At 39.4% G+C, this 12,729-nt stretch overlaps 1 long non-coding RNA gene across 7 annotated transcripts in view; it reads right to left on the reverse strand.

Annotated features, from left to right (window-relative positions):
- LOC105372061 (uncharacterized) overlaps positions 1-12,729 on the reverse strand; it is a 51,352-nt gene that overhangs the window by 5,595 nt on the left and 33,028 nt on the right. For 2 of the 7 annotated variants that reach the window (XR_001753406.3, XR_001753404.2), the window contains exons 2-5: positions 10,382-10,560; positions 9,843-10,293; positions 9,419-9,484; positions 5,243-5,322 (exon numbers count right to left, since the gene is read on the reverse strand). This is a non-coding gene — a long non-coding RNA (uncharacterized LOC105372061). Of the gene's footprint in view, positions 1-5,242; positions 5,323-7,493; positions 9,485-9,842; positions 10,561-12,729 lie in introns of all 7 variants that reach the window. The other 5 variants (XR_935370.3, XR_007066333.1, XR_002958217.2 and 2 more) reach the window with 5 other exon arrangements.

A 12,729-nucleotide genomic window follows, 5' to 3' on the forward strand; every position in this document is an offset into this window, starting at 1 on the left:
AACTCACTCAAAACCACTCAACTACATGGAAACTGAACAACCTGCTCCTGAATGACTACTGGGTACATAACGAAATGAAGGCAGAAATAAAGATGTTCTTTGAAACCAACGAGAACAAAGACACAACATACCAGAATCTCTGGGACACATTCAAAGCAGTGTGTAGAGGGAAATTTACAGCACTAAATGCCCACAAGAGAAAGCAGGAAAGATCCAAAAGTGACACCCTAACATCACAATTAAAAGAACTAGAAAAGCAAGAGCAAACACATTCAAAAGCTAGCAGAAGGCAAGAAATAACTAAAATCAGAGCAGAACTGAAGGAAATAGAGACAAAAAAAACCCTTCAAAAATTAATGAATCCAGGAGCTGGTTTTTTGAAAGGATCAACAAAATTGATAGACCGCTAGCAAGACTAATAAAGAAAAAAAGAAGAATCAAATAGACACAATAAAAAATGATAAAGGGGATATCGCCACCTATCCCACAGAAATACAAACTACCATCAAAGAATACTACAAACACCTCTACACAAATAAACTAGAAAATCTAGAAGAAATGGATAAGTTCCTCGACAATACACCCTCCCAAGACTAAACCAGGAAGAAGTTGAATCTCTGAATAGACCAATAACAGGATCTGAAATTGTGGCAATAATCAATAGGTAACCAACCAAAAAGAGTCCAGGACCAGATGGATTCACAGCCGAATTCTACCAGAGGTACAAGGAGGAACTGGTACCATTCCTTCTGAAACTATTCCAATCAATAGAAAAAGAGGGAATCCTCCCTAACTCATTTTATGAGGCCAGCATCACCCTGATACCAAAGCCAGGCAGAGACACAACCAAAAAAGAGAATTTTAGACCAATATCCTTGATGAACATTGATGTAAAAATCCTCAATAAAATACTGGCAAACCGAATCCAGCAGCACATCAAAAAGCTTATCCACCATGATCAAGTGGGCTTCATCGCTGGGATGCAAGGCTGGTTCAATATATGCAAATCAATAAATGTAATCCAGCATATAAACAGAACCAAAGACAAAAACCACATGATTATCTCAATAGATGCAGAAAAGGCCTTTGACAAAATTCAACAACCTTCATGCTAAAAACTCTCAATAAATTAGGTATTGATGGGACGTATCTCAAAATAATAAGAGCTATCTATGACAGACCCAAAGCCAATATCATACTGAATGGGCAAAAACTGGAAGCATTCCCTTTGAAAACTGGCACAAGACAGGGATGCCCTCTCTCACTACTCCTATTCAACATAGTGTTGGAAGTTCTGGCCAGGGCAATTAGGCAGGAGAAGGAAATAAAGGGTATTCAATTAGGAAAAGAGGAGGTCAAATTGTCCCTGTTTGCAGATGACATGAGTGTATATCTAGAAAACCCCATTGTCTCAGCCCAAAATCTCCTTAAGCTGATAAGCAACTTCAGCAAAGTCTCAGGATACAAAATCAATGTACAAAAATCACAAGCATTCTTATACACTAATAACAGACAAACAGAGAGCCAAATTATGAGTGAACTCCCATTCACAATTGCTTCAAAGAGAATAAAATACCTAGGAATCCAACTTACAAGGGACGTGAAGGACCTCTTCAAGGAGTACTACAAACCACTGCTCAAGGAAATAAAAGAGGATACAAACAAATGGAAGAACATTCCATGCTCATGGGTAGGAAGAATCAATATCATGAAAATGGCCATACTGCCCAAGGTAATTTACAGATTCAATGCCATCCCCATCAAGCTACCAATGACTTTCTTCACAGAATTGGAAAAAACTACTTTAAAGTTCATATGGAACCAAAAAAGAGCCCGCATCACCAAGTCAATCCTAAGCCAAAAGAACAAAGCTGGAGGCATCATGCTACCTGACTTCAAACTATACTACAAGGCTACAGTAACCAAAACAGCATGGTACTGGTACCAAAACAGAGATATAGATCAATGGAACAGAACAGAGCCCTCAGAAATAACGCCGCATATCTACAACCATCCGATCTTTGACAAACCTGAGAAAAACAAGCAATGGGGAAAGGATTCCCTATTTAATAAATGGTGCTGGGAAATCTGGCTAGCCATATGTAGAAAGCTGAAACTGGATCCCTTCCTTATATCTTATACAAAAATTAATTCAAGATGGATTAAAGACTTGAATGTTAGACCTAAAACCATAAAAACCCTAGAAGAAAACCTAGGCATTACCATTCAGGACATAGGCATGGGCAAGGACTTCATGTCTAAAACACCAAAAGCAATGGCAACAAAAGCCAAAATTGACAAATGGGATCTAATTAAACTAAAGAGCTTCTGCACAGCAAAAGAAACTACCATCAGAGTGAACAGGCAACCTATAAAATGGGAGAAAATTTTCACAACCTACTCATCTGACAAAGGGCTAATATCCAGAATCTACAATGAACTCAAACAAATTTACAAGAAAAAAACAAACAATCCCATCAAAAAGTGGGCAAAGGATATGAACAGACACTTCTTAAAAGAAGACATTTATGCAGCCAAAAGACACATGAAAAAATGCTCATCATCACTGGCCATCAGAGAAATGCAAATCAAAACCACAATGAGATACCACCTCACACCAGTTAGAATGGCAATCATTAAAAAGTCAGGAAACAACAGGTGCTGGAGAGGATGTGGAGAAATAGGAACACTTTTACACTGTTGGTGGGACTGTAAACTAGTTCAACCATTGTGGGAGTCAGTGTGGCGATTCCTCAGGGATCTAGAACTAGAAATACCATTTGACCCAGCCATCCCATTACTGGGAATATACCTAAAGGACTATAAATCATGCTGCTATAAAGACACATGCACACGTATGTTTATTGCGGCACTATTCACAATAGCAAAGACTTGGAACCAACCCAAATGTCCAACAATGATAGACTGGATTAAGAAAATGTGGCACATATACACCATGGAATACTATGCAGCCATAAAAAATGATGAGTTCATGTTCTTTGTAGGGACATGGATGAAATTGGAAATCATCATTCTCAGTAAACTATCACAAGGACAAAAAACCAAATACCACATGTTCTCACTCATAGATGGGAATTGAATAATGAGAACACATGGACAAAGGAAGGGGAACATCACACTCTGGGGACTGTTGTGGGGTGGGGGGAGGGGGGAGGGATAGCATTAGGAGATATACCTAATGCTAAATGACGAGTTAATGGGTGCAGCACACCAGCATGGCACATGTATACATATGTAACTAACCTGCACATTGCGCACATGTACCCTACAACTTAAAGTATAATAATAATAAAAAAATAAAAAATTTAAAGAAAAAGAAAAAAAAAAAAGAAAGGCTAAGTTGTAAACCTCTCCCCTGCTGTTTGATGCATAAAAATAAAGTTTAAAAAAGGCTCTGCCACTTTATGGCAATGTGTGTTTGTTTAATCTTACTTACTGGTTGCTTTGAGAGATAAATTAAGTGAAAAGGTACATGCAAAGCACCTAGCAAGGTTCCAGAACATGATGGAAGTTCAACAACTGTCATTTCCTTTCCCTTTTTCCTTTCTGAAGTTTATGACCCTCATTTATAAAATGAAGGTGATAGTTTTTTTGTTTTCAGAAAATTCACACAAAAGTAAATTACCTCCAAGATAAATATGAAAAAATATATCCAGCCTATTTAGGAATAAAATGACTGGATTTTAAAACACTGCTATACCTCTTTAAAAACCTACTAAATGAGCAAAGACTTTTAATAAAGTCAGTCAATGCTAAGGAAAGTGGACTATCTGCTACCAAGAATATGCACTTGTGAAAAGATTGTGTATGGTTGGGTAGTCAGGCAGAGGGGTTGGGCAATGAAGGGAGGTAGAAGAGAGATTCCAAAACATTCATACTCTGCAACTCAATAGCACCACATCATGGACTTTCAAAGAAATTAAACTTGTTAGACACAAATATAAATACTTAAAAATCTGACAACAGAAAATAGTTAACTGAATCATGGTATATCTAAACAATGCAATATTTTGCACAAATAAATATGTATGCATAGACATTAAAATGACTGTGAACTGGTGAGAATGTATAATGATGGAACTACTTTGGAAAATAGTCTGACGATTCCGAAAAATGTTAAGCATAGAGTTACCATATGACCCAGCAATTCTACTCCTATGAAAATGAAAATGTGTCCACACAGAAATATGTACATAAATATTTATACTAGCATTTATTCGTAATAACAAAAATGTGAAAACAATTCAAATGTCCATCAACTGATGAATGGATAAACAGAATTTGGTATAAACATACAATGTAATAATTATTTGACAATAAAAAGGAATGAAATGGGCAGGGTGCGGTAGCTCATACCTGTAATCCCAGCACTTTGGGAGGCAAAGGCAGGCAGATCACTTGAGGTCAGGAGTTTGAGACCAGCCTGGCCAAACATGGCAAAACCTCGTCTCTACTAAAAATACAAAAAATTAGCTGAGTGTGGTGGCACGCATCTGTAATCCCAGCTACTCAAGAAGATGAGACAGGAGAATCACTTGAACCCAGGAGGCAGAAATTGCAGTGAACCGAGATCACGCCACTGCACTCCAGCCTGGGTGACAGAGTGAGACTCCTTTAAAAAAAAAAAAAGGAATGAAATACTGATACATGAAACAACATGGATAAGCCTTTAAAAGACTATGCTAGGTAAAATAAATCAGTCAAAACAGACCACATATTGTGTCATTCCATTTACATGAAGTGTCCAGAACACCCATATTCATATCCATAGAGGCAAGTAGATTAGTGTCTGCTTAGTATTATGGAGAAAGGGAGAATGACTACTAGTGAATATGGGATTTCTTTTTGGGGGGATGATGAAAATATTTTTAAATTGATTATGTTAATGGTTGCACAACTGTGAATATGCAAAAAAATCACTAATTTGTACACTTTAAGTAGATGAATTGTATGATGTGTGAATTAAATCTTGATAAAGCTGCTCTATAAATGACTGAAGAACTTTTAATAACAGGATCAAACACTTGTATCTGCTATGAACAATCATTAAAGTAGCATTCAAAAAATTTATATGAAACATACAACTATGTAGAAATATGCACAGAAAAAAGAGTAGGAGCGAGCCTCTGGGTAATATCTTTAAAAGGAACACATTTGGAGGAAATGGAAGAGGAAATAACATTTTGGTAACTGGAAAGCAAATGAGCACATGGTCACTGACCTAGCAAATCAGAGCAGGCTGACTCCTGTGCTGAGAACCAACCAGAATCCTCAAGTCTCAGGAACTGGCACCAGGTACCTCTGAAAATGGGACAGACAACAGGATTTGTTGAAAGCTTCTGAGGAAACAGATCCTAGATCCTCTTCTCTGCTTCACCCCACTGGGTGACTGTCCTCCCACTCTGGTGAAAACAAGAGGTTCATACTACAGAGAGGGCAAGATAGAGGGGGTCTGGTCTACTCTAGAGGATACCAGGCCTAACTGAAGGATGAGTATCATACAGACACACGGGGATTTTGTAATCCTGTACGTCGTAAATTCTGAGACCCTCCAGCCAAATTTCTCCACTCAACACACAGAACACTGGCAGTCAGACCTTTACCTTCAGATCAGAGATGAAAGAGCCTTCTTTGGGGCATCTGACCAATCCAAAAGAAAAGCCTTAAACATACTGACGTGGGCCCAAGCAGAGCACCCTAAAGTAAAGCTCATGTTCAATCAGCTCCACTCATATGCTGAGACTACAGATCAGCTATTTAGACCCCCACTTTTAAACACGAGCAGACAATCAAGTATAACCAGATATTTGAGTAGATCCTTTAACATAAATGTTAGAGACCAAAACAAAGAGAAAGAAAAAAAGAAAAAAAAACCCTAGAAGAAAAGTGGTCTATGGTGCAGAAATTAAATACAATAATCCCAGCTGTTACAAAATTAAACCTACATAGAACAATGACTTAAACCCCAAAATGGGAGTTCCTGATTAGTAGGCAGCTCTCCTCCAAGTATTGATTTAGGGATCCAAGTTCCTTTCACTTTTTGAAAATTTGCAATTGCATTTCTTAGCGGATTCCCAAAATTGTATGATGGCCATGCTGAGAAAAACCTGCATTAACCCTTATTTACATCTAGCAAATAACTAAAAAGGAAAAGCTAGGTAATTATTCATCCCCAAATTGTTCAAGAAAACTAATAAGGCCCAGCGCAGTGGTTCACATGTGTAATCCCAACACTTTGGGAGGCCGAGGTGGGTGGATCACCTGAGGCTAGGAGTTCCAGACTAGCCTGGGCAACATGGTGAAACCCTGTCTCTACTAAAAATACAAAAAATTAGCCAGGCATAGTGGCAGGCACCTGTAATCCCAGCTACTTGGCAGGCTGAGGCAGGAGAATCGCTTGAACCTGGGAGGCGGAGGTTAAAGTGAGCCAAGATCGCCATTGCAATCCAGCCTGGGCAACAAGAGCGAAACTCTGTCTCAAAAAAAAAGAAAGAAAGAAAGAAAGAAAGAAGAAAGAAAGAAAGAAAGAAAGAAAGAAAGAAAGAAAGAAGGAAAAAAGACTAATCATAGTAAGCCATATATCTCAGCTTTGAATCTCATCTCCAAATAGCATATGCAATATAATAATGTAAGCACAGCATGTTAATCAACCAAAATCTCTATGGAGAAGATGGGAGATGAGATATATACATATACAATGGTAGAGGGGCAGAGCTAACTTCTCTGCCATTTTCCATAATGGGAAGTCCACAGACAATGCCTAAAATTTATAAAACAAGAAGAAACACAAATATGTTATTTAAAGATGAGGTAAATACAAAAACAAAAAGCTTTAAAAAGAGGTGGAATTAGTTATTTCTGAGAAAGGAAATTTGGGGAGGATGAAAACTTTTTATGCCACGTGAATATAATTTTGATTTTTAAATAGAAAAAAAAGGTGGAAAATATTTTTTGGTATTAACAGTGATTATTCCTGGGTAAAGGATTTTGGATAAATTTTTAAAATATTCTTTCCTCCATCTATATTTTCTGCATATTCTAAAGTAAACATGAATTATTTTTACAACCAAAGTATTAAAGTGTAAAAGTAACATGTCTGTCTCAAAAGTTGTAAGAGTTAAATGTGAAATGTTTTTAAACAAACTGGCATTTTTAAATTTTAGCTATTCGAATTAAATAAAAAGGAGATGAGTTTTTATGAGGTTAAATTGCTATTCCATATGATAGAAAATTTGGGTATATTAGATCCTTTTGTAAAACATACCAGATTACCACTCTTATTTTCTGAACTATCTTGCCTCTTTTTTTTTTCTTCATAACAACAAAATAAATGTCCTTCCAGGAAGTACCATAATTTTTAGGGTTTTTTTGAGGCAAACACTTGACTGGTATATTAATCTATTCTCATGCTGCTAATAAAGACATATCTGAGACTGGGTAATTTATAAAAGCAAGAGGTTTAATTGACTCACAGCTCAGCATGACTGGAGAGGCCTCAGGAAACGTCCAACCATGATGGAAGGGGAAGCAAACACTTCTTTCTTCACATGGCAGCAGGCGACAGAAGAATGAAAAACCAAGTGCAGGGGAAGCCCCTTATAAAACCATCAGATCTCCTGAGAACTCACTATCACAAGAATAGCATGGGGGAACCACCCCCATGATTCAATTACCTCCTACCAGATACTTCCTATGACATGTGGGGATTATGGGAACTATAATTCAAGATGAGATTTGGGCGGGGGGACATGGCAAAACCATATCATTCTGCCCCTGGCCCCTCCCAAATCTCATGTCCTCACAATTCAAAAAATAATCATGTCCTTCCAATAGTCCCCCAAAGTCTTAAATCATTCCAGTATGGTCTCAAAAGTCCAAGTCCAAAGTCTCATCTGAGACAAGGCAAGTCCCTTCTGCCTATGAGCCTGTAAAATCAAAAGCAAGTTAGTTACTTCCTAGATACAATGGGGGTACAGACATTGGGTAAATATGCCCATTCCAAATGGGAGAAATTGGACAAAACAAAGGGGCTATAGGCCCCATGCCAGTCCAAAATCGAATAGGGCAGTCATTAAAACTTAAAATTCCAAAATGGTCTCCTTTGACTCCATATCTCACATACAGGTCACAGTGATGCAACAGGTGGGCTCCCACAGCCCTGGGCAGCTCCACCCCTGTGGCTTTGCAGAGTACAGTCCCATCCCAGCTAGCATAGAGTGTCTGCAGCTTTTCCAGGTGCATGGTGCAAGCTGTCAGTGGATCTACCATTCTGGGGTCTGGAGGACAGTGGCCCTCTTCTCACAGCTCCACTAGGCAGTGCCCCAGTGGAGACTCTGTGTGGGGGCTCCAACCTTGCATTTCACCTCAGCACTGCCCTAGCAGAGGTTCTTCTGCAGCAAACTTCTGCCTGGACATCCAGGCATTTCCATACATCCTCTGAAATCTAGGCAGAGGTTCCCAAATCTCAATTCTTGACTTACGTGTGCCCACAGGCTCAACACCACGTGGAAGCTGCCAAGGCCTGGAGCTTGCACCCTCTTGCCTGAGATGTACATTGGCCCCTTTTAGCCACAGCTACAGTAGCTGAGATGCAAGGCACCAAGTCCCAAAGCTGCACACAGCAGGGAGGCCCTGGACCTGGCCTAGGAAACCATTTTTCCTTCCTAGGCCTCCAGGCCTGTGATGGGAGAGGCTGCTGTGAAGGTGTCTGACATGCCCTGGAGACATTTTCCCTATTGTCTTGGTGATTAACATTAGGCTTCTTGCTACCTTTGCAAATATTTGCAGCTTGCTTGAATTTCTCCCCAGAAAATGGGGTTTTCTTTTCTATCACAATAGTCAGGCTGCAAATTTCCAAACGTTTATGCTATTCTTCCTCTTGAATGCTTTGCCACTTACAAATGTCTTTTGCCAGATACCCTAAATCACCTCTCTCAAGTTCAGAGTTCCACAGATTTCTGGGATGGGGCAAAATGCCATCAGTCTCTTTGCATGGCAAGAGTGACCTTTATTCCAGTTGCCAACAAGTTTCCCATCTCCATCTGAGACCACCTTAGTCTGGACTTCATTTCCCATATCACTATCAGCATTTTGGTCAAAGCCATTCAACAAGTCTCTAGGAAGTTCCAAACTACCCCACATCTTCCTGTCTTCTGAGCCCTTCAAGACTTTACGAATTCCAAATTTTCCCACATTTTCCCATCTACTTCTGAGCCCTCCAAACTGTTCCAACCTCTGCCTGTTACTAAGTTCCAAAGTTGCATTCCACATTCAGGTATCCTTATAGCAGCACTCCACTCTCAGTACCAATTAACTGTATTAGTTAGTTCTCACACTGCTAATAAAGACATACCCAAGACTAGGTAATTTATAAAGGAAAGAGGTTTAATTGACTCACAGTTCAGGATGGCTGGGGAGGCCTCAGGAAACTTCCAGCCATGGCAGGAGAAGCAAACATGTCCTTCTTCACATAGCAAAAGGAGAGAAAAGAATGAGAACTGAGTGAAGGGGGAAGCCCCTTATAAAGCCACCAGATATTGTGAGAACTTACTCATTATCACGAGAATAGCATGAGGGAAACCACCCCCATGATTCAATTACCTCCTACCAGGTCCCTCCCATGACACATGGGGATTATAGGAACTACAATTCAAGATGAGATTTGGGTGGGCATGCAGCCAAACCATATCAACTGGTAATTAGAACAATCAGCAGAGCCAACTAAATGTATAAAGTTTCCCAATTTACAGCATCATTTCATGTCATTTGTTTTGTTTCTCTGCCACACATGTATAAGCATCTCAAGGTCAAAATCCACACACCCTCTCTTCTTCCTTCTCTTCCTCTTCTTTTTCATTTTTCTGTCTTTTATTCTTTCCTCCCAAATTTCAGATACTGGGAAAAAATAACTAACATTGGTGTAGTGTTAAGGTAACATTTACAATTTCCACAAAACCTATTTTGTTTCCATTTAATCCTCACAATACCCATTTTAGGAGGGTGGTAATACTCTCCTCTTTTAATGACACGGAAAACAGAATCACAGAGTGATTTGCCCAGAACACTCTGTGGGTAAACCACAATTGGAACCTACAAGGCTTCATCTTCATGATGGTTATTTACAGCAGGTGTTCAATAAGTATAGCTCAGCCAACCATAACCTGAGAAGAACCTGGGATATTCAACCTGTAGTTAGTCCAGATTATGCTTCCTTTTGTTCACTGGGCAGAAGAGTGCATAATCATCTGGGAGCTCTCTTTGTGGTGGAAAAATCTGCAGACAAGGTAAAAATAAGAAAGAAGACCCAGGCATGCCATCAAACAAGAAACACAAGGCAAAACACAAGACATTTCCCACTTACGAAAAGATAGTATGCTTCTGGAAGGAGTTTCAAAAGCAGGTTTCTCTCTCTATGCACAGTGAAGTACACTTCAGCTCACCCCCACCAGATATGGCATCAGCCAAGATTAAGATTTGTCCAAGGAGCTGTGCTCAGTTTCTTGGCTTTAGTTTAATTCCTGCTGCTGTCTTCTGGTCATCCTAGCAACACATATTAAATATGATAATTTTTGTTTTAAACACTATTTGTGCCAGTAAAAGAGAACTGGAAGACTAGGGAAAGGTGAAGAGATATTTTCAGTACCAAATATTTTTCTAAGACATCAGACTCTGCAGCAGTGCTGTGATGTACACTAAGAACCACCCATTCTCAAAACCTTCCCCTAAGATTTCATTGGCAAAAGTCAGGAATAAGAGGGTGGTCCTGGTTGTAGAATGCTAGAGAAGCTTAGGGCAAGAACTTTTTTCTGATTCATAGTCAATTTCAGAAAAATGGTCCTCTGAAAACCAAAATCATTTATAGTCTTTTTTTTTTTTTTTTTTTTTTTTTGAGACAAGTTCTCACTCTGTCACCTAGGCTGGAGTGCAGTGGTGCAATCATAGCCCATTGCAGCTTCTATCTTCTGGGCTCAAGCGATCCTCCCACCTCAGATTCCCAAGTAGGTGGGACTACAGTCATGTGGCACCATGCCCAGCTAGTATTTATTTATTTATTTATTTATTGAGAGAGGTTCTCATTCTGTTGCACAGTGGTACGGTGGCACAATCTCAGCTCACTGCAGCCTTGACCTCCAAGTCTCAGGTGATCCTCCTGCCTCACCCTCCCAAGTAGCTAGGACCACAAGTGTATGCCACCACACCTGGCTAATTTTTGTATTTTTTGTAGAGATAGGGTTTCACCATGTTGCCCAGGCTGGTCTCAAACTCCTGGGCTCAAGCAATCCACCCACCTTGGTCTCCCAAAGTGCTGGGATTACAGGTGTTAGCTATCATGCTTGGCCCCTTTATAGCCTTAAATATAAAAAGAATGCTGTCTTTGAAGGGGTTAGTATATGGAAGAAAAGAAATATTCTCCCTCTGTTGCAAAGAGAGCCCTTGATGGAGAGAGATTAAAATATTTTAACACTATAAAAATGAGAATATCATTTTACCAGAAAACTAAATCAAGACTAAGAAAAGATACTGAAAACTGCATGTCAAACTTATATTCATTTCCTGGCTCTCACTGTCCACTACAAGGAAGCATATTTGTTCAACTGCAGAGACAGATGATTTCCCAGCCATGAACTCTCTCAGTTGTCCCTTAGTATCCACCAAGGATAGGTTTCAGGAACCACCCCACCAACTGATACCAAAATCCCTGGGTGCTCAAGTATCTGATGTAAAATAATGTGGTATTTATATAGAACTTATGCACGTGCTCCTATACAGTTTAAATCATCTCTAGATTACCTACAACACTCCTACAATGTAAATGTTATACAAATAGTTGTTTTACCGTATTTTTTTAAATTTGTATTTTTTTTATTGTTTTTTCTGAATATTTGTTATCTGTGGCTGGTTGAATCTGTGGATGAAGAGCCCACAGATATGAAGAGCTGATTGCATTATACAGATCTCTGTTTAATGAATATTGAACTGTGTAAGGGACAGTTGTCAATTTTTTTTCTGAAAAAGCGCAAAGTCGTTCTTCTTCATATGACCACTTAGCATAATGCTAAATTGCAAATCTGTGAAGATGAGTTGTACAAAACTGACAGAATTTATCCTAGGACCATAGCTTTGGCCTGGTCTGACCAGGCCTGATGAAGGGACAAAGCTTTGTTAATAGTGCTTGTTCACTCATTTGCCTTATCAGATTCTAACCCCATGGTAGGCAGTGTCTGCCCTCACTGGAAACATCACATAACCCAATGCCTGATGCAAAGCGATTGAGCAAAAATTATAGAAAAAATGAAGAAAATAAGGAGGACAGAGTATTCCTTGGGCTATGTTTCTAAATATCAGTGGTCATAGGATCTTTCATGAAAGCTTTGGAATAGAGGAAAGTCTGTTTGGAATAAACCTTGGTAAGCACTAGAAACAGGAGGTTGATGAGGCAACCCATGTGCTCTAAAATTAGGTGGAAGTGATGCTTGTTCTGAGAAGTGGAGACACTGATTTGTATTCTGATCCCTGAGCTACAAAAATACCTGACAACAGAGCCAGAACTTTTCTCAGAAAGTGACTCAGCAGCTTGCCTCAGACTGACCCAGTTTAGCACTGAAAGCCCCAACTCCTGAGAAATCCTCAGTTCCCGTCAGATCAAAACATTGGTCACCCTAGAAAACAGATGCTCAAGCAGTCCAGCAGGTAACCATTTTCAGCTGA

This window comes from Homo sapiens, chromosome 18 (assembly GCF_000001405.40).
Source record: "Homo sapiens chromosome 18, GRCh38.p14 Primary Assembly".
Lineage (NCBI taxonomy): Eukaryota > Metazoa > Chordata > Mammalia > Primates > Hominidae > Homo > Homo sapiens.